This window comes from Homo sapiens, chromosome 14, assembly GCF_000001405.40.
Source record: "Homo sapiens chromosome 14, GRCh38.p14 Primary Assembly".
In the NCBI taxonomy this organism is placed as follows: domain Eukaryota; kingdom Metazoa; phylum Chordata; class Mammalia; order Primates; family Hominidae; genus Homo; species Homo sapiens.
This window is the reverse complement of record NC_000014.9, coordinates 62,164,665-62,188,156: the sequence shown is the minus strand read 5'-3', so window position 1 is coordinate 62,188,156 and position 23,492 is coordinate 62,164,665. Positions and strand designations below refer to the sequence as shown.

Below are 23,492 nucleotides of genomic sequence, written 5' to 3'. Positions count from 1 at the left end.
TTCCAAAGAACCTATCAAAAACATCCAAGTCTAGAGTACTTGGGTCACTGTCTTGCCAGTGTTAGGCTACTGACATGGCTCTCTCTCCAATGTAGCTCCTGGCCATAAACTCAATCACCCCCACTAGCTTAATTCAGACATTTTATTCCTGGCACTGCCATCCAATGGGCACTAAACGTTAGTATCAAAACAACAGAATTATGTTAAAGAATGTAAGTTCTTTTATAACCCAGAGTGTTCTAAGAGTAATAATAAAACCTGTGTTCACTCCAATCCTTTGAGTTCATCTTTGACCATTTGGGTTTTTATACTGGAGATCATTGTATTTAGCCACGTAGAACATTCATGTCCCGCTGTTCTAGCAATGCTCTTCATATCCTATGGCACTGGACTTTGAAAGGGCCGATTCTGTATTGACATTGCAGGAGCAGTTAAAATATTCCATTTTCTTCCCAACAGTAAGTAGGTGAGGAAGCATCAACCTTCTCAAGGTCAATATGTACCAGCTAGGAAACAGTGTGCTCAAAGAGGATAGCTGAAGAACTTTCAATAAAGGGACTACCGAGGTGTGGCAAGAGATAAGGGAACAGGTAAGTGGCAGTACCTAGAACTAGAAAACAGAGGAGTCCTTCAGATCTGAAGGGGCAAGAGAAAGAGCAGCCACTGGAACCCAGCAGGAAGTTGTCAGACAGGAGCCACTTGAAAGGAGTTGTGGCATTTAGTAGAGGAATGCAGCCGCTGCCAGACTGCAGCCCAGAAGAAAAGGAATGTGTTGGGGTGGAGGAGATAATCCCATAGCATCTCTCTCCTCCTGCTCTCTGATTGCCTCCCTGCAACTCCCTTTGACTCCAACCAGAATATAGAAGGCACAGGAGCCAGGGGATCCTTAGAGGTCAGCCTGCTGGGGGCAAAAATCAGGGTGAAGAATGGAGGTAAATCTAGAGGTGCAGACAGAATATTGAGCACACAGTGCTGTTTGTAGGCTTATAAACAAGCCAGTGCTCACCAAGGGACAGAAGCCCCCTCATGTGTGCTGATAGAAGCCCTAGGAATTTGAAACACCTATCTTGCTATTGGAAGAGAAGAGACACACTAACCAACTGGAAAACACTAATGACCACACTGGAGAGTTACCAAGACAGAAGACTCACACGTGCACTTGGAAATAAATGCCACACCACATCTGAAAGGGGCAGCTTCCCCCCTCTAAGTCTTTTACTTTGCAGAGACTAAAATCTCGAACTATAGGAGAAACCATCACAATTCTAATAGCCAACATTTGTTGGACACACCATGTGCCTGACTGTTAAAAACACTGTACCCAAATTAACTCACTTAATTCTCACGACAACTCTATGAGATAAACAGCATTATTATCACTATTTTCTGGATGAGAAAGGTTAAATAGACTGAGAAATAGAGAAGCTACACACCAAGTCAGTAATGATACCAGGTTCCGAACCCAGTCTGACTTTAGAGCCTACACTTTCAAATCCTACACTTAAGGTGAGCACTCTTAACCACGTTTATTTTTAATATAGTTGAACTGCTCATCCATTATTTTCATGTTACCAGCATATAACATCGCATTTGAACGGTATGAAAGTAGCCACAGAGTTACAGAATTTCACAGCTGAAATGAATAGTAGCAACTCATTTCACTAGTAGAGAGATACAGATGCAAATGCACAGATTGATACATAGTATATTTCTACCTGAGGTGTGGTACCAGAGACAAGATTAAAACTCATCTCCTAACCACTTTACCATGGCCCTTGCAACTTCACTGCAACTCCCCCCGCATGCAAAGAACTTGTGCCAGGCACTACAAGGGAGAAAAAAAATTAGAGGAGAACTTGCCTTCCAGGTGTGACCAGCATGGACTAAGAGGAAATAAGGTAAGTATCACCATGAGAATCTAAGTGGTCTTGCTCACAACAGTGATTCCTCATAAAGTGTAATGGAGTTTAGAGGAGCAATCATGTTTTTTCCAGAGGGGCATCTGATAGGCTAAGGTAAAGGGGATGACCTCTGGCTTAGGATTTTCAGAATAGGTCATACACGAGGAGTAGTTTCTAGTTCACAAAGTTTATCTAGGGCCACCAATGATCTGTCAAGTTGGAGATACAAGTGCTGCTCCCTAGAAACCTAAGAAACCTTGAAGTTTGTGAGTTTGTGAGGTAGGGGATTTGTGGATACAAGGCACCAACAATGCCTTGCCTTTCCCCCACCATTCAAGATTCTGCACCCCAATCACCCACAGGGTGCCATCTTTCAGGAGCTCTTAAGAATTGAGCAGTAGATTGAAGTAAAGATTTAAAATAATGGAATGGATGAAGGCTATCAATAGGAAGAGCAATTGTAGAATGCCAGTAGATGGAATTGTGCCCTATGGTATCATGAGATGTAATAACACTCTATCTTAAAGGAGACTTCCAGAGAGGGTAGATTTCTTCACCTTGAAGAATGAGCTCCAGCATTTGTGATTTAGACAAAGACCCCAGGAGGAGTCTACAGTCCCCCTTTACTCTTGCTCCATAAGGCAGACAAGCCAAGTAAAGGGCGTTCAAGCCATAGCATTAATGCTTTTTCTTCCATTATCCTCAGAGTAAGCCCACTAAACTTGCCATTCCTGTCACCTTCTCTTAAAGATTCTCCTTCAAAGCTCAAATGAGTCACTTAGAAGGTAAATAAATCCTCCATGAATATATCTAAAATTCAGTTTCCACATCTACAAATTCCTGACCAACCACCTTACTCTGAACTGTTCCAAACACCACTGGCTGTCCACTTCCCTCCTCATGCCATCCCTCCAGCAGTGTTCAGATTTCTCTGTGTGTGCAACTATTTATTCCATAAGTCTCCTGGGGTGAGGGCAAGTACATAACATTCTTTTTTGGTATGTCCCATAATGCCCTCTTATGGTCAGTGCAGAGTAAAGGGTTATTAGTTTAATATAGTGTAATTACATGCAGTGGAAGATAAAATAGCTACAAAAAAATGGCCTCTCAATGTTTTGGGGATTTTCCCCACTTTGGAACTTCTCTTTTCGTGATCCCCACTCTCCTTGACTATCTCCAGAGGCACTGTGTGTTGAGTGAACCAGTTGTCTGCTCAGGTATCATAAACCTCATGGTTTCTGCACTTTTCCTGAAGAGCCAGGGCAAACCGTTTCTAACTGCTGCGCTGGACAATTTCCTCCAGAGAACCATTCCTGGAGCTCACTGATCTCACCAAACCCAGTTTGGTGGCCCTGTGACAGCCATTCAGCAGGCTGCATTGTGTCACACACTTGTCATGGTGTACATTGACTGATCTGTGCAGTTAGTTATGTAACACCCAAAGCTAACTCAGGTCCCAGTCTCCTCAGACACCTTCACCATTCACAACTCCCTTCAGGCTCATGGAAACCAACTGTTCATCTTCAGAACAGTGATTTAAGAAATTTTGAGTAGGCTTTCAAGGACAAATGTAGACACCATGAGAATATCTGGCAGTAAAGGGATATCACTAGCTCGTGAAGATTTTATCCAAGGTCTCAGTCTCTAGGTGTACTTGAAGGGTTTATTAGTCCATTTTCATGCTGCTGATAAAGACATACCCGAGACTGGGAAGAAAAAGAATTTCAATTGGATTTACAGTTTCACATGGCTGGGGAGGCCTCAGAATCACGTGGGAGGTGAAAGGCACTTCTTACATGGCAGCAGCAAGAAAAAATGAAGAAGATGCAAAAGCAGAAACCCCTGATACAACCATTAGATCTCATGAGACTTATTCACTACCATGAGAACAGTAATGGGGAAACTGCCCCCGTGGTTCAAATTATCTCTCCCCAGGTCCCTCCCACAATTCAGGATGAGATTTGGGTGGAGTGACAGAGCCAAACCTTATCAAAGGGGATTTCTATCATCAACACTTGCAAGAATTTAGTCCTCTACTACAAGAATGGAATAAAAATAAAATGAATCCAAGACCTTCTGTAAGCAGTGACAGGGAGATGGTAGCATGGTACCAGATTCAAGAGAAGGAGGCTCTCCTGCAAACAGGGAGGGCTCACAGCTGGCCTTTGGAGGATGGATGCCATTCTGCACTAAGAGGAAGTAAGAAGACAGTCAATGTGAATGGGATGGCCAGGGAAATGACAGAATGTGGATCACAATGTGGAATATACCTTATGGTTGGAGAGAAGTGGGAATGTTGATAAAGAAGATTAGTGCCAGATTATGGAGGATGTTGAGAATCCAGCTGCAAGGTTGGAACTTTGAATGACACATAGCTCTCTAAAAATCAGCTTTCAACAAAGAAATTGGCCGCTTCTAAATGTGGTGACCCTCCATTACTAGAAGTTTGTCAACAGCCGATCTGTTAGGGATGAACAATCAAAGGTTTTCCGCTCTATGTTGTGGAATGCAGAATTAGGCAATGCAACAGAGGAGCTTAGAATGTGGCATCAAACACCTGAATTTAAGACCAGCTCTGTTCTTTACTGCCTTTGTTATCCTAGGGTTGTCATTATAAGCCTTCTATCATCTGTAAAATGAGCATAATAGTAACTGCATCAGAGGGTGATTGGACAAAGTACATGCAATATGTGAATCTACTTTGTAAAAGTAGATTATATCAATAATAGTTAACATTAACAAGTGTTAAACTTCTTTCCAACTTGCAATTCTGTGTTTATAGCCTAAAAATGTTAAGGTCCAGAAGAGTGTGTTATGATGAAAATTATGTTGTAAGAACAATGGAAAATTTATAAGTCAAGATGAATTGAAGACAACGTAGAGGTAGGGGGAAGTTCTCAGGTTGCATAGAATGAAGTGATGGTGTAGGGTAAGCACAGCCTAAACTAAGACGGGAGCAATGGAAAAGGAAAAGAAAAGGATTGTAAGTTTTTTTTAATTATGTAAGTATATTTAGGAATCAAAGGTGACTGAGATCACAGATAAAATAGCTTTTTTGAAACACCCCAGTTCCAGCACTTCCAGATTAGGTGAAAGACTGTCTAGGGATACGCTATGCAATTCAGTAACCACTCACATGTGGCTACTGAGCACTTGAAACGCAGCTACCTCAACCTGAAATGTGCTGCAACTGTAAACTACGCACTAGTTTCAAAGACCTAATATGAAAAAAGAATGTAATGCATCTCCATGATTTTATATTGATTATATGAGAAATGATGTTATATTGGTTTAAAGTTAAAATATTTTAAAAAGTAATTTTACTTGTTGCACTTCACTTTTTAAATGTATTTACCAGAAAACTGTACAATATAGGTGCGATTGACATTATGTTTTTGTTGAACTCTACTGGTCTAGTGTATGATTCTCAATAAAATTGCAATGGAGCTTTTCTCATCTAGACATCCCAGAGGTCTCTCCCAGTACATATGAATCAGCAGAAACTATGAGTGGTCCTGTTTTTGAAGATGCTCCTCAGTGATTATAAGAGCCATAGAGTATCTGCACTAGAACATTCTAAGTGTGCTTCATAAGCTTTATTTTTGTACATCCATCACCTGGGGAGCTCATTAATCAGCTAACTTCAACTCCAGAGATTCTGATGAGTTCGATCTGAAATGAACCTGAGGTCCCCTGGAATGTTCATTTACTATGCCCTGCACATGATCTAACTCAAGGGACCCCCAGAACCACATTTGAAAAAATACCTCTCTGGGGGTGGGAAGTGCTGTCACACAAGGAACAGGTGAAAACAACCACCAGCACTGTACCAGCAATGCAGGGGCACAAAAGGGGAAGAGGACAATAATGAAAGTAATTATTTAAGTAATTTGATATGTGGCATTACAAAAAAATTATCAAAATAATCAGAAAGTCATAACTGTTTATCTTGTTTAACTTTTAACTTTTTGGTTTAGAAAATTCTTCTATTATTTTAAATTACATGACAAGGAGTGGGTATAATCTTTTCAGAGCTTGGAGCTTCTACAGATTTGATGTTAACACATAATAAAAATATTGTCCCAAACATGGAGGCTGCTCTATCTTCTACTGTAGGATATTAGGATCAGAAGGATCTGTATGGACACCAGCCTTTGGGTTCATTAATCCTGAGGGCAGAGTGTCTTACCTTTTGGTCTTGATTTACTGTTTTTTTGTTGTTTTGTAAATCAGATCATCCTTATTAAAGAGAGGAAAACTGCTGCATTCAGAGGAAGATAGATCTTCAGAAAACATTGTCAGGCAGAAGGCCTTTGGCTCATTAACTACACAAGTTAAGGTCCCTCTTGCAGAGCCCTAAAGGACTCTCACCAACACCACAGCAGGAGAACCAATACCCTGGGCAAATGACTTCCTGCCTGCAGAAAGTCTCTTAGAAGAGAAGGTTCTAATTCTAGTTAAAAGCTCTCCCACCTCGATCTGCTCGGAGCCCGGATTTAGGCTCTGATTCACCATCTCTGCATTCCAATAGCATGCAAATAGCACCAAGAGCTGGAGTCCATTAAAAAAAAAAATTTTAACAGATTTCTTAAGTGGTCATAAATCTTGTTTCTGATGTGTTTTGTTTCTTCCAACAAGTACCTTGCCATTAATGAAAGAATTATTTTAAGGCAATTTAAGATCCTAAAATTTAATCAAATTTCCATATGACTTATTTTAGCAAATTGTTATAAAACAGGCAGTAATTAGCAGGAGGTGACCACCATGGTAAAGGATCCCTGGAAGATGATACTGTTCTTTTCACACCTGGGCAATTTGATTGACCTTCAGCGTAGGTGACCCCTTCATCTTTTTGTCCCCTTGTAGTAGTCATGATGGCATGGTTGAATACCCCATATTTGTGAAAGTGTCCTTCTTTGTGCTCACAGAACATATGGCTGAGGTCAGAGAGATGACTTGAAACAACCTTGAAACACAACTAACTAGGCCATTGTGGAATCAAGCCTATGACCCCAGCCTTTCAAACCTCAGCCTCTAATAGACTCAACCAGCCAGCCAATGTAGGGGATAGAGCACTGCATTACACTGTGTAAAGGCAAATCTTGGGAAATCTAAGGCTGTTAGTGTCAAAGGCACAGAAGCAAGCATCAGGCCCTATACTTCTCACCTGCATAAAGGAGTAAAGCCTGCAGAAGTTAAGCAACCTGTAAAAGGTGATATAATTAGTTAATGCCAGAGCCAAGGCCAATGTCCAAGTTTTAATTCCTAGGTTTAGAACTATTTCTCTTTAACATTAATTATGAAAATAACTGTAATGTGTCTTCATCAAAAACTAAAATAAGTAAGTATAAAGACCCTTAATTTTACATATGCAGAAAAATAACCACAGATTATTTCAGTTTTCCTATGAAATCATCTATAACAATTTATTCATGATTTACCATGTGTAGAGTATGTACTGTGAGTGTGGGCGTTACTAGACCCATTTTAGAAATGAGGACCCTGAGGAATTGAGTGTTTACCCATGTTCATGCAATGAAGAAATGGCAGAGTCTGAAGCCAGCTTACTCTTTTCTACCTTCGAAGTGGACCATATTACCCACTATGCTACACCACCTCTTAGAGCATCACCCACCACGTACAACTGGGTTTTGTTGGGGTCCTGAAGCTAGCTCAAGTTCCTGCCAAAACTAGATCCTCATCCCTATGACCCTGCCCCCGACCACCCCCACCCACACACACACTGCTGCCCACCTTCACTGTCTAATGTCAATTTACCATGGGAATTTTCTGTGTGTTCTAATTAGGTTCAGCAGGGCCCTTGCCTAAAAGCTACCTAGTGGCCAAATGCTGCCCATTAGAAAGCACATTCCTGTAGATGTGAAGTATGATACCTAGGATGTCTTCAGAAGGACAAGAAAGTCTGTGGAGCCTGTTGGAGGACTGGATAAATGTACCACTTCCTTTGCAACTTGGCCACAAAGCCATCCAGCTTCAGAAGACAAGGGAAGAAAAAGAGTTTACCCAAGCCCCAAAGTTCTCCTCCATGAATCCCACTTCCTCCTTCTACCTCTCACCTCTCAAATCTCAGATACTCATCAAGGCAATTGCTTCAGATTCCTTTCAATTCCCTTCTTACACAGCTGAGGACCCAGATGGAAACATGAGCCACTCATGACCATACAACTTAGCCTCCACCCAAGCAAGAACACTTTGAGAGTGTAAGGGGACACTATTGCTAAATGTGTTGGCCTATCAGACATAAGATAGGCTATCCTAGTCCACCTCAATGTATAATCAACCTGTCATACCTCCCAGTCGCCTTCTCTGCAAAACAGTTTTTAATGGACTGCTGAGGCAAAGGGCACAACTGCAGCAGCAGCGCTTTCCCAGGAAGGGCATCTCCCCAGGTGGCTGCCGTTACTGGCACACAGAGTCTGCAAGGGCAACAGCTGGCAAGGCAGGTTGGCTCACTTTAATTCAAATTGAACTCCTTCTACTGAAATCTAGTTTATTCTGAAAGAGGTGCTGAGGATATTGTTCGTGGAGCTGCATTTCTCAGCAAACTAGATCCAAAAGGCACCAAGTGGAAAAAGCAGGACACCTGTGAGCCATAACACAATTTGGCTGAGACACTTATTGCTACCAAGAGAAGAGCAAATGCAAAGGTTTGCTGCCACCTGCTGTTGCATATTCATCCTTGCTAACAAGATGACAGCAGCTGGGCTTGAGGCATTTGGTGCTTTGGGACATCTCCAGGAACCCAGACTCCAACTTACTCATACCAGAGCTGAACCACGGGGCCATCAAGCATGTATTTCACAAGCATTTATTGTGAACCTTCTGCACCCTAATCTAGGGAAGGAGATAAAAAGATGATTGAGATGAGACTCCTGCCCGTGCTGAATTTAAATCTATGTCATGAGAGGACAGAGAGCAGGGCAATGAGAAGTTGAGGGCAGAGATATTGTCTAAAATATCTTTGCATCTTCCAAAAAAAGAGTTTACCTTGTGATGTGTCAAAATGATTATTAGCTACCCAAGGAAGATGCACGTTCTAGTAATTTTTCTTTCATTTTCATTAGAAATCGATGAATGTGGTACACAGGAGCTGGTCCTAGAGAAATCTATGAAGTAGGGGTTATCTTCACCCTTTCCTCATGATCCCTAGCCTTTTGTCTTTGTTTCTGTCATATCCAGGGACCCAGTGGTATCAGATTAGGACAGGGACATTGATTTTTTTCTCATTATAGTCCTTTAACTTTTAAATTCAGGGGTACATATGCAGGATGTGCAGGTTTGTCAACATAGGCAACCATGTGTCATGGGGGTTTGTTGTACAGATTATTTCATCACCCAGGTATTAAGCATACTCTCCATTATTTTTTCTGATCCTCTCCCTCCTCTCACCCTTCATGCTCTGACAGGCCCCAGTGTGTGTTCGTCCCCTCTTTGTGTCCATGTGTTCTCATCATTTAGCTCCCACTTATAAGTGAGAACATGCAGTATTTGGTTTCCTGTTCCTGTGTTAGATTGCTAAGGATAATGGCTGATACGGTTTGGCTGTGTCCTCACCCAAGTCTCATCTTATAGTTCCCATAATCCCCATGTGTCATGGGAGGGACTCGGTGGGAGGTAACTGAATCATGTGGGTGGTTCCCCCATGCTATTCTCATGATAGTAAATTCTCACAAGATCTGATGGTTTTATAAAGGGCTTCCTTCTTTGCTTAGCTCTCATTCTCCTTCCTACTGCAATGTGAAGAACATGTTTGCTTCCCCTTCTGCTATGATCGTAAGTTTCCTCCCCACATGGGAGGTCTCCCTAGCCATGTGGAACTGTAAGTCAATTAAACCTCTTCCTTTATAAATTACCCAGTCTTGGGCAGTTCTTTATAGCAGCAAGAGAATGGACTAATACGATGGCCTCCAGCTCCATCTATGTTCCTGGAAAGAACATGATCTCATTTTATGGCTGCAGAGTATTCCATGGTGTATATGTCCCATGTTTTCTTTATCCAGTCTATCATTGATGGGCATTTAGGTTAATTCCATGTCTTTCCTATTGTGAATCATGCTGCAATAAACATACACATACATGTGTCTTTATAATCGAATGATTTATATTCCTTTGGGTATATATCCAGTAATGGGATTTCTGGGTCAAATGGTATTTCTATCTTTAGGTCTTTGAGGAATTGCCACCCTGTCTTCCACAATGGTTGAACCAATTTACACTCCCTCCAAAAGTGTAAAAGTATTTTTCTCCACAACCTCACCAGCATTTGTTATTTTTTTGGCTTTTTAGTAGTCATCCTGACTGTTGTAAAATTATATTTCATTGTAGTTTTGATTTGCATTTCTCTAATGATCAGTGATGTTGAGTTTTTTTTTTCAGGTGATTGTTGGCTGCATGTATGTCTTGAGAAATGTCTGTTCTTCAAAGTGTCCTTTGCCCACTTATTAATGGGGTTGTTTTTTCCTGTAAATTTAAGTTCCTTATAGATGCTGGATATTAGACCTTTATCAGGTGTATAGTTTGCAAAATTTTTCTCCCATTCTGTAGGTTGTTTACTCTGTTGATAGTTTCTTTTGCTGTGCAGCAGCTCTTTAGTTTAATTAGATTCCATTTGTCAACTTTTGCTTTTGTAGCATTTGCTCTTGGCATCTTTTGTCATAAAATCTTTATTTGTGCCTATGCCCTGAAGGGTATTGTCTAGGTCGCCTTCCAGGGTTTTCATAGTTTTAAGTCTTTAACCCATCTTAAGTTAACTTTTGTATATGATATAAGGAAGGGGTCCAGCTTCAACTTTTTGCATATGGCCAGCCAGTTCTCCCAGCACTATTTATTGAATAGGGAATCCTTTCCCCATTACTTTTTTCTGTCAGGTTTGTTGAAGATCAGATGGTTGTAGGTGTGTGGCCTTATTTCTGGGTTCTCTATTCTGTTTCATTGGTCAATGTGTCTGTTTTTGTACCAGTACCATGCTGTTTTGGTTACTGTAGCCCTGCAGTATAGTTTGAAGTTGGGTAGCATGATGCCTCCAGCTTTGTTCTTTTTGCTTAGGATTGCATTGACTATATGGGCTCCTTTTTGGTACCATATAAATTTTAAAATAGTTTTCTCTAGTTCTGTGAAGAATGTCAATGGTAGTTTAATGGGAATAGCATTGAATCTGTAAATTGCTTTGGGCAGTAAGGCCATTTTAATGATATTGAGATTTCTTATTCAAGAGCATGGAATGTTTTTTCATTTGTTTGTGTCATTTCTTCTAAATACATTAAATCCTTTCTAAGGACTTGAAAGAGGAGGAAGAGCATGTAAAAGGAGCAGTGCAAAACATAATATGAACTGGTTAGAAAGAAAAATGCCATCAGGTATCATATGTAAGTTTTTGCCTCAATTGCTGATATTGGGGAAGGTGCTGATGCCTCCATAATTGGATTTCCCAAATTAAATGGGATAGCTGATAAGTGTGGTCGTTAAGACATGACTTGAACTTGACTGCCTAGGATCCAATTCTGGATTTATCTTTTAGTAATTATGTAGCACCTTAGATGAATTACTTGACTTCTCTGTGCCTGTATTTTTGCTTATAAAAGAATGGTAATAATATCTACTTCACACAGGAGAACACTTTGAAAGTATAAGGGTGCACTGTAATGAATATTCCATTATCATTTCAATGGAAGTAAGCAGATAATTATTTTAAAATATATAAAGCAGAGCAATATCTGATACATATAAATACTCAACAAATTGTGCATGCCTGTATATTCTTGTATTTCCATAATACCCCTTACTGCCAACTACCTATAATCAGATAATCAGAATAAACTCAATTTTCTGAGGTTTCAATGACTTCATAGTAACTAATGGTTAAGTGACTCCTGGAACCTGCTCTAGTTGTCAGTGTGGAGCAGTCTGTAGAATCATCTCCATATTATTTCCTACCACATGCCTCTTAGGAGGTCTGTTTCATGTGAATTTGTGAATCAGAAACATAAGATACACAAACTGGTAAAGAGCAAAACCCAAGAAGTAGCAAATGGGTCATTTTAACTGCTGATATTAGTTAGGCAAACTGATAGAGGAAAACAAACTACATTCAGCAGTGGGAGAAACTGCTCTAGATGTACTCTGGAGAAAAGTCATCCCCACTTCCTCCAAAAACAATGGAGACTTATAAAGCCTGTCCACCTCTGCAGCATGGAAATTTTGTAAGCAGTAGCCATAGTAAGCATTTTAGAGAATCAGAAAGGAAGTGCTTTGAAATCCCCAGCTTTATATCCCAATACTGACACACAATTGGTAACAACTGAATTTAGAGTTTAAACCATGAACAACTACAGACAGGAAAACTGATCATGCTCTGGAGTTGGTACGCCTGCCCTGATTCAAACAGGGGACCTGCTGATCGTCAGCTACCTCAAACCAGAAGGCAAACAGGAGAAAATGGGCGACAGGCACACGCAATCATGACAAGAGAGGGCAAACTCAGAAAACCAGGATGGCGATATTTCCTCTAGTGAAGGGTTTCTCTCATGTTAATGAGAAAGGATCGTATCATTGTAGCTATTATTTATAATGTGTTTTGTCAGTGTACTTAGTCCTGTTAAGGAAAATAAACATTGATCATCCCAAGGTCTCTTTCAATCTCAATTGAAATAGAGCTGATGTTCTCTTCATAAAATCCCAACTTTTTTTTTTGACAGGATCTTGCTGTGTCATCCAGGCTGGAATGCAGTGGCACAATCTCAGTTCACTGCAACTTCCATCTCCCAGGCTCAAGCAATTATCCTGCCTCAGCCTCCTGAGTAGCTGGGACTACAGGTGCGTGCCACGGCACCTGGTTAATTTTTGTTTTTTTTTTAAGTAGAGACGGGGTTTCACCATGTTCACCAAGTGGGTCTCAAACTCCTGCCCTCAAGTGATCCTCCTGCTTCATCCTCCCAAAGTGCTGGGATTACAGCTGTGAGCCACACACCCAGCCTAAAATCCCAATTTTTAAAAGAATTTAAGAACAAAGCTGGAGGCATCACGCTACCTGACTTCAAACTATATTACAAGGCTACAGTAACCAAAACAGCATGGTACTGGTACCAAAACAGAGATATAGATCAATGGAACAGAACAGAGCCCTCAGAAATCATGCCACATATCTACAACTATCCAATCTTTGACAAACCTGAGAAAAACAAGCAATGGGGAAAGGATTCCCTATTTAATAAATGGTGCTGGGAAAACTGGCTAGCCATATGTAGAAAGCTGAAACTGGAACCCTTCCTTACACCTTATACAAAAATTAATTCAAGATGGATTAAAGACTTAAATGTTAGACTTAAAGCCATAAAAACCCTAGAAGAAAACCTAGGCAATACCATTCAGGACATAGGCATGGGCAAGGACTTCATGTCTAAAACACCAAAAGCAATGGCAACAAAAGCCAAAATTGACAAATGGGATCTAACTAAACTAAAGAGCTTCTGCACAGCAAAAGAAACTACCATCAGAGTGAACAGGCAACCTACAGAATGGGAGAAAATTTTCCCAACCTACTCATCTGACAAAGGGCTAATATCCAGAATCTACAATGAACTCAAACAAATTTACAAGAAAAAACAAACAACCCCATCAAAAAGTGGGCAAAGGACATGAACAGACACTTCTCAAAAGACATTTATGCAGCCAAAAAACACATGAACAAATGCTCACCATCACTGGCCATCAGAGAAATGCAAATCAAAACCACAATGAGATACCATCTCACACCAGTTAGAATGGCAATCATTAAAAAGTCAGGAAACAACAGGTGCTGAAGAGGATGTGGAGAAATAGGAACACTTTGACACTGTTGGTGGGACTGTAAACTAGTTCAACCATTGTGGAAGTCAGTGTGGCGATTCCTCAGGGATCTAGAACTAGAAATACCATTTGACCCAGCCATCCCATTACTGGGTATATACCCAAAGGACTATAAATCATGCTGCTATAAAGACACATGCACACGTATGTTTATTGCGGCACTATTCACAATAGCACAGACTTGGAACCAACCCAAATGTCCAACAATGATAGAGTGGATTAAGAAAATGTGGCACATATACACCATGGAATACTATGCAGCCATAAAAAATGATGAGTTCATGTCCTTTGTAGGGACATGGATGAAACTGGAAATCATCATTCTCAGTAAACTATCACAAGGACAAAAAACCAAACACTGCATGTTGTCACTCATAGGTGGGAATTGAACAATGAGAACACATGGACACAGGAAAGGGAACATCACACTCTGGGGACTGTTGTGGGGTTGGGGGAGGGGGGAGGGATAGCATTAGGAGATACACCTAATGCTAAATGACGAGTTAATGGGTGCAGCACACCAGCATGGCACATGTATACATATGTAACTAACCTGCACATTGTGCACATGTACCCTAAAACTTAAAGTATAATAAAATAAAAGAAAAAAATAAAATAAAATAAAATTGAAAAAAAAGAAAAATACTGAAACAAGTTTATTCCCGTGTCTGTATGCAGTATGTTAACCTTGTCTTTTTTAGCTATATTTTTTTACCCAAATTCAATTTTAAGGTGATCAGACTGATAAATCTTAATGTCCCTGTAGAAAACAGTGGATTTCTGATCCAGCAAGCTCATGGAAATTGATCAGAGTGACATCAAAATAAAAAAAAAAAGTAGGGCCAAAAAACATTAACTGCATAGCTTCAGTCTCAATATGAATAGCTTGACAATTTGTCCAGACATTGCTTTCTACATAAAATTTAAGAATAAACCCCTTCTCAGCTCACTTGAAGAAACATGATCAATAAGAACAACGTTTTATTCCCAAATTATATTAAACTTTCCCATATAACAGTTCTCAGTATCACCTACCACTTTATCACATTCACCCTGAATCCTTACATATTTTTATAGTAAACCCCTTATTGAAATTTACTTTCTATGACTATAGCAATGTTTCTACCAAAGTCAGTTACTGGAAATGGGGGAAATGCCAGATTCTGAGTTATTATTTTTATCATAAAGGGGAGCTGGTATGGTTAAGAAGACAGGTCATCCTACTTTATGTTCATTTAAAATAATGCAGGGAAAGGGAAAACTCAGTATCAATTTAGACCGAGCAAGAGCTTCCAATTGGAGAGTGTGAGGTTGAAAGCATCCACTAATGAGTTGTTCAAACGTGGTTGGTGAAGACTCTTGACCTGTGACAGAACTGAGGAAATCTTAGGCTAGCATTTCTTTGCTGACCCATTTATTGAGTCTAGTTAATCACCTGAAAGATTGTCCTGCACATCACAGAAGAATCCCTCAGAAGCTGCCCTTCGGTACCTGCATATCAGAGCTGAGCTGCCAAATGTCACAGTGCGCTTGCTAGAGGTGAAGACAAAGGGAGACTTAATCTCAGATCCAGTATTGTTTCTTTCAGAGAACACAGAGGAGAGACGCCAAGGAAAAAACACTTCAGTGGAACAAAAAGCAAGAGCTTCACACTTTTCTCTCCATCTCATTGATTAGCACACAGTCCCTATATCCTCATTTCCTGGTAGAAATCCAACTGTGACACCATATTGATTGTGAGGGGAATGTGACCCCGTTAAGACGCTTCCACTTTTCAAAAATTCTTCCCATCTTCCTGTTCTTCCTCTTCTCCCAATTGTTGCCCCTTATTTATTAACAAAATATTGTGAAGCAGGAATAATCTAATCACGTAAGAGATTAGAAAAGGGATTTGTGCAGATTTTCCTTTGAAATCCACACATAATTATGGACTGGGAAGGTTAGAATAAGTTGCTCCTTCTCTTGGTCGGCATGTGTTTAATAGTAGAAGAAAGAGAAGGTACATATGGCTTTTAAAGACCTGATAGAATTTAAAAGAGGAAGAATGTACTAAAGGTATTTAAAGGGGCACTAGAAAGCAAGCAAGAAATTTTCTGTTCCTTCGTTGGCAGTAAACGGCAAATTCTACAATGAGGTGGCATTTATAAGTTCACAGTGACATTAATTCAGTAAAGCAACTGGAGAATTAACTGACAAAAGAGTGAAACTAACTGATATTTTGTACATGGTGCACATGACTACTAAGAAAAGGGATTTCTGTTCCAATCCAGAGTAGCAAGTATCAAAAGGCTACCAGCATGAGCAAGAGTCCTTCCTGGGATGGAGAGAAAAGTATTTTTTATGGTACATCCAGTCTGTGTGCACTGATAACCAAGACACATGCCCTACATTTTTATACTGAGATGGCTATTTTTGCCCACCTGTCTTTTTCAGTCCTAGTAGTCTCCAAATTTCTGTCTATTCTTGCATTTACTCATTCACTAACAATTTTGCAAGATACGGTGCAAAGTCCCAGGAAGTCAATAATTAAAAGACCCAGATAATACCCTTAAGTATCATAATCTATTATGTCTACAAATAATTCCTATAAATTCTATCATAGTGATATGTATACACACACTATAGAGAGAGAAGGAGTGGAGGAGGAAGGAGAGAATGAAAACTGAGAGCATAGGCGAGTGCTTCACTCAGTCTGGTAATTCAAAAGGTGTCACTCAAACAGGAAGAAATGTTGGAACTGAAACTTGGAAAGTGAGAAGATTTTTGTAAGGTCAGCAATGGAGTGGGACATAGTAGGCCATGTTAGCGCATAAGGAACACCATGCACAGAGATCTAAAAGCATAGGCTGACAGAGCTATTCAGTTAACTACAAATCCTGCAATCACCCTCAATGTTTTCTATTGCTTCTTTGGCTGAATCTTGGTAGACCACAATTTCATACAATGACCCAAATTAATGTACCTAATGTGAAAGAATCACAGCATTGGACTCGGAAGGCTCTTTTCATGATCTTATTAGTGGTGGCTGTCAGTGAATTCAGTGAGCTGAGGTGATATGGTTTGGCTGTGTCCCCACCCAAATCTCAATTTGAATTGTATCTCCCAGAATTCCCACGTGTTATGGGAGGGACCCAGGGGGAGGTAATTGAATCATGGGGGCCGGTCCTTCCTCTGCTATTCTCCTCTGCTATTCTCATGGCAGTTAATAAGTCTCACCAGATCTGATGGGTTTATCAGGGGCTTCCACTTTTGCTTCTTCCTCATTTTCTCTTGCCTCCCACCATGACTGAGGCATCCCCAGCCATGTGGAACTGTAAGTCCAATTAAACCTCTCTTTCTTCCCAGTCTTGGAAATAAAGATCACAGCAGCAGCAGAAAAACAGACTAATACATGAGGCAGTGAAAAACAGCTCTCAAGACAAGCAAATGCATCATTGGAAGGGAACACAGGTAGAAGCTGGGAATATGGGTTTTGGAGTCAGGATGGGATGCCTGTGAGCGTCATGTAGGATGATGACACAGATATTCAGCACCATGTCTGGCACATAAGCAGCACTTCATAAATATCAGATGCTACTCTATTATTAAATTATTGGAAGGTGTATTCTATAGTTATACTGTGATATTTATGAATTTTGCTATCCATTAAGACATTTAGCTCTACAGGATGTGCATGTGAGTGTACAAGATGAGTAATATGAAATTATCTGGTGATTTTCCAAAAGAATTTAAATCTAAAAATCTGTAAATTGTCATAACAATAACTCATAGTCCATAAACTATTTTTATACAATGTAGATTCACATACATATGTATACTTCTATCTACAGTAGCTATTCATAGTATAAACAAGAAAAATAGGAGAATAGGTAGGTGTCATTTTCACTACATGACATATTTGTAAAAGGATTTTTTTTGCCAGATTATAAATAGGTAGGATTTTTTAATGGAACAAATTGACTGCAATTCTGGTGTCACTCTTGAGTGGGAGTTGAACAATGAGAACACATAGACAGAGGGAGGGGAACATCACACACGGGGGGCCTGTCAGGGCGGTGGGGGGCAAGGGGAAGGAGAGCATTAGGACAAATACCTATATGCATGCAGGGCTTAAAATCTAGATGACGGGTTGATGGGTGCAGTAAACCACCATGGCACATGTATACCTATGTAACAAATCTGCACATTCTGCACACGTATCCCAGAACTTAAAGTATAATAAATGTAAAAGGATTTTTTTAAATGTTGCTTCCTGAGGGATTTTCACTTTTTACTACATTTTCTTGTTAGTTTGACAATGTTCTATGTCAATTTGCATATTCATCTTCTCTTTAGATGAGTGTTAGTATTTGGCTTGCCCAAAACATTTCTGAAGAGGTCAGATATTTTAAGGCCAAGACAAAAGTTAAATTTTTTTTTCCCATTGTGGCTGCATCATCATCTCTAAAAAAAAAAAACTCTCAGCCAAATGCATACAAATGAATTATATGACACACAGTAATTTTCAAGAAAAAAATTGAGTCAGGAATAACACTATGATGACACAATCATCCATGTAAGTCTCAAAAAACAGGAAAAACATTACATTGTTTTCCATTTTAACATCAGTTGGTAAATATTAATTCACTAACCTCAATATACAGAGAATTGAACTTGAATCACAGACTATGGCAATAGAAACATGTGTGCAAAAGAAATAGTTCTGACCAAAGAGGTAGGAAGACACTACATACCATGTCAGAATCTATGAATCTGAGAGTGACGAGCATTTGTTCAACAAACATTTCTGGAGCCAATGCTATATGTCAGGCACTGTTCTAGGTGCTAGGACAAGAGCAATGCACAAAACAGACAAAAACCACTGCACTTATGTTGCTCACATTCCCAGGTCATTCATTTTCATCCCAACTTAAGCTTGCTCACCCTAAAAATTTAGATGTATTTGGACGTGGAGTATGCTCTACTGGGCCATCCAGATCTCCAGATCCTCTTTCAAGAATGAAAGACTTGCTTCCTGAGCTGCTGGGAGTGCTGCTATCAACCCTCTCTGGAGATTTGAATTAGCTTAAAAACAAAAAAAAAGTGTTTCACCTAACATCAGACCACCTTCCAGGGCATCCCATACCCAAAGACTGATAAACTCAGAGACATAAAGGCCCAATCTCCTCACTACAACTTAGGACAAGGGGCATGTCAACTTCAGAGCAGTCTATGGCATCAGTAGAGATCTCTATTGGCTCTGTATTGGGATGCAACTTCCCCTCCTGCTTCCTTACTATCCTCAAGAATTGACCCTAAGAGCATTACCAAAAACATCCTCTAATAAGCTCCTGCATGCCTTTCTCTGTCTTAAAGTTGGCTTCCCAGGGAACCCAATCCGCAGCCATTGTCCTTAGGAGTGATAAAACAAACGTTAAGATAAGAATTTTCATGCGGATTGCCTGCCCACCTGCTGGCAATGTGCCATCTACCCCATGTCTGATGCTAGAGGCAGCACACATATCTCCTGGCACAAGATAATAGGATAATTGTTGACACTTTTCCAGTGGAAGGGAATGCATTGGTTGGATTTTGAGGGAAAATGCAGAAAGAGCAACCATGAGGACAGTGAAATAGGGTAGCTACTGCCACCTGCTGAAGCTCTAAAAAAAATAACAAAAAGTTGAGATGGATACATTGGCAATTAAAAGCTAAATATAAAAAGAGTGAGTACTTCCATGGTAACAAATAAAGAGGTTCTTGTCTCCTCAGCAGTAGGGCAGGAAAAGTTGTGAATCCCACCAAGGAACAGTCAGGTTTTATAGAAGATTAAACTCCCAACCAAGGAAGATCAGCTGTGCCACAGTCAGGGTCCTGATTTGAAAAGAATAGGAAGCTGACATACGGTATGGGGACATCTAAGTTAATGGATTCAAGTCTTGAACCATCAGACTTCCGTAAACTCTCTAAGCCTGCAGAATTGGCCCAATTTTCCCAGTTAAGGGCTAGCACTCTTTTTGCTTGAGGATCATTCACAGATCGCACCCACACAAAAGAACACATGCCCCCTCAGGATTTGCCCTCACTTTCCTTCCTGGTCACTTGACAAATAAATATGGTTAAGTCACAACATAACTCGGTTTGGAACATGCTAAAAGGAGAGGTACTTTAATCCTAAAGTAACTGTATGGTACACTTCTACCCAGAAAGATGTAAGTAGGAATCTGGGTGTCCCAGATCAAGGTGGGTAAAACAAATTTGAATAACAGTTTGATATAAGAGTAGTTTCTTATAATACAGCCTTTAATGCTCCGGCAAGGACCCTTGGAAATGATGAAAACATACTGCTAGGCTGACTCATACTAAATGAGAAATCCAAGAATTACTACCAGACAATGGAAGAAGGGATTGAAAGACTCAAGAAACGAATATGTCAAAATATACTATGAAAGGCCAGAAAATTCACCAGATTTCACAAGTGGGCTGGAGGATCTGCCATTTACTAAAACAGTAATGAGTGTCTAGTGAGAGGGGCAACAGCATTACTAAAGTTGTTTGTGGTGGCTCTCCTACATAGGCCAAGGCAGATGTAGAAATGAGCTCACTACTGACAGTGGGAAATTTAGGTCCTTGAAACAAGCAAGGCCATGTATCAGGACTTAACCAGGAGACTGGATGGATGAAAGCATTGGAATGAGTGTCAGCAAAAGGGAGCATGACCCATAGAGATGGTTAATAGAAAACAGCTTTGCTAGAGGCAAAGTAGATGGGCAAGCAATAAGGGCACTTAAGCTATACAATCAAAAGAAATCCAAGGTGGTTAATCAGGAGTCTGAAAGCTGCCATCTCAATGCAAAGTCACAATCCCTTTCTCAGCTTCTAGACCTAAGCTAGGTTTCAGAATCAGAACCCATGGATGGAAAAAGAAGTCAGGTTTCCAGGAGGAAGAACCCAGCAATACCATGGCAAGCATGCTGGGAATGATTCCTCCAGTCTCTTTTTAAAGAGACCTATACAATTGATTAGGAAACCGTGGAGTTGAAAAAGGGAAATTGAAACATGTTAAGGACTGTTGACAGAGTCTGAGTTGACAATGATACCTGAATACGCAAACAGTCTACATCCAATGATTGATCAACTGAGGCCTATAAAATTCCTACACCCCAACTCCGGAGAACCCTGAAAGGCCACCCCAGGCCAAGAGCTTCCCATGAGATTGGCTGAGAGCTTTTTGAGGACCGTGTTGCATCTCATCCTCTCTGCCCAATCCTACTTCCTTCCCTTCCTTTCATGGGGGTTGACAGCAAAGACATTTCATATAAAATATTCTGCAAGCTAATCTCATTTTCAGAGTCCACTTCCCAGGTTAACCAATCTGCAACATTGAGCAAGTCAGGGAAACTGGTGGAAATGAGAGGTCCTTTGTGCTGGATATCTTCCATATCTATTCTCCACTCTTCTTCCTGCTCTGTTCCCTTCTCTATGGACTCCATCATCCAAGCCCTTTGCCCACTGGCTTCTCAAGGGAGACCAACAGGAGACTGAAGGGTGAGAGAATAAAGCGATCAAAATACATATGGCCCAGGCTCCCTTACTGTCTTCTCACAGGTTGGGCCATGACTGCAATGCTCCACTGAAAACCTTGACTTTAAAAAGTGACCCTCTCCCAGGTTCAGAGGTATAGCTCTCTGCAGTTTCCCTGAATTGTCCCCCACTTCCTCACTCTTGTTTTGCTCTTTTGGATTTAAGAGTAGGAATGAACCTTGTCTATTGTGAACCCTGGAGAGTTTCATTGGCCTTTTTTGGTTTCCCTTAACTCTGCCCACAGTTTTGTAGAAGACTCCTTATTAAGTGTTCTTTAATTACCCTACCCAAGTACGCCATCTGTTTTCTGCTGTGTCCCTGATAAACACAGACCAGTAGAAGTTTACTTGTATGGAGATGCAAGCAGCCTTCTGAGAAATAAATCTTTCTAAGGAATGAGAGAGAGGGCACACAGCCTTAGCTGGAGGCATAAGGCTAACAGATAAGATTGTGGGCTTAGAAATCAGAAGTTCTGGGTTCAAATGTACAGCTGGTGAGTGACTTCACCTCTATTAAGTCTTACTTTACTCATCTATGTACTCGAGAAAACAGTGATACCTACCTGTGTCAGGATGCTTTCAGCTTCACGGAACAGAAAAACTGAACCAAATCGGCCAAAATGATCACATTTATCGCCGACAGCAGGAAATTAAGAGATTGTGAGAACTCTAGGTTGTAGCTGCATCACGGCTCCGGCACCATTTCGCTGCACTTCTCTTGTTTTACTTTCCTTTGTACAGTTTATCTTCAAACTAGCTTCCCTTACTGTTGGAAGAAGGCCATGAACAGCAATAACAGCAACGTGCTTCCTTTGTCTCCTCTGGTGTAGTGAATGTCTTTCACCCAAATCACGGAGTAAAAGCATTATCCTTCATTCTAATTGGTTCAACTTACTTTGCTTGTCCACGCCTGTACCAGTGAAAATTGCCCTGATTGGCTAAGGCCTGGGCACTGAGCCAATCGTTGGCAAGGAAGATGATATTACCATGATTAATTTAACTGATTAGGATCTAACCCTGGAGGTAAATGTAGGGTTCCCATCCTGAGTCTCACATGCTTCCTCGGGGGAAAGATAGATACGTTTCAGGTGAAGGGCTCAGGTGAATACCAGCCAGCATTACCAGGTGCTGAGTGGATCCTACAGGCAGAAGAGTCATCTAATGCACCTGTCCGTGTTCTCCAACATTCTGTAGACAGCAGGCTTGGAATGGTGTAGCTGTACGCAGAGGAGGGCTGTGCTCCAGGCAAAGGACACCATCTCCTGTCACTCTCCATTTTTGTGATTGAGTTTGGTCACCAACTTGTCTAAGTTGAGCCTCATAATTGTGATTTGTGCACTTTTCTATACATTTGCTTAGAAAGCATACATTCTTTATAAAAAATGTCCAACTTCACATTTTCTGTCAAATTACCACCCACCTTTCATTTCCTGTTCTAAGACAGGTTTATCAAAGAGAAATGTAGCACCCCATTTCTCCATCTTCCTCTCCTTCCTTAACGCACACTCAACAGGCTGCTCGCCCCACGGTTCCCCCATAATTGCTGAAGCTATGACCACCAACTGTTAAGCCAGTGGACCCATGTCAGTCTTCATTTTATTTGACCTCACAGCAGCCCTCCACACAGTTGACCTCTCTCTCGTTAGGTTTCTGTGACTCTATACTTCCTCAGCTTTCCTCCTACACCTCTCATCATTGCTTGGGATTCTTTGATTATGCATCCTCCTCTACACAGCTTCTAAATGTTGGAGATATATGCTAGTAGTTCTCAAACTTTAGCATGAATCAGAATCATCTGGGGAACTTGTTAACACTCAGATTGCTGGGCTGTGCTCCCACTTCTGATTCCAGTGAATCAGAAACGTGCATTTCTAATAAGTTCCCAGGTGACACTGCTGCTCTAGGGATCACACTTTAAGGACAACTTTCCCACCTGACTTTCTTCCAGACCCCAAATCTATATATTTGACAATACTACTTGGATATTTCTCAGGCTTTTCCATGCTACTTGTCCAAAACTGACATCATGAAATTGTACCCATATCTGCTTCTCTTCCAGTTGCCCATGGTCTTAATAAACTCAATTACTTACTGAGGCCACAGACTTGGGTGCCATCCTTGATTATTCCCTCTCCTTCACTCTTCATATAACTAGTTACTACCT

The 23,492-nt window shown here is 40.6% G+C and overlaps 1 annotated feature.

Moving 5' to 3' along the window:
- Positions 354-966: an enhancer, noted in NCBI's record as "NANOG hESC enhancer chr14:62653909-62654521 (GRCh37/hg19 assembly coordinates)". NCBI's record gives its function as "activates a minimal SCP1, AML or CMV promoter by ChIP-STARR-seq in naive H9 embryonic stem cells {active_cell/tissue: H9 hESC(naive)}" and the evidence as "EXISTENCE:reporter gene assay evidence [ECO:0000049][PMID:30033119]".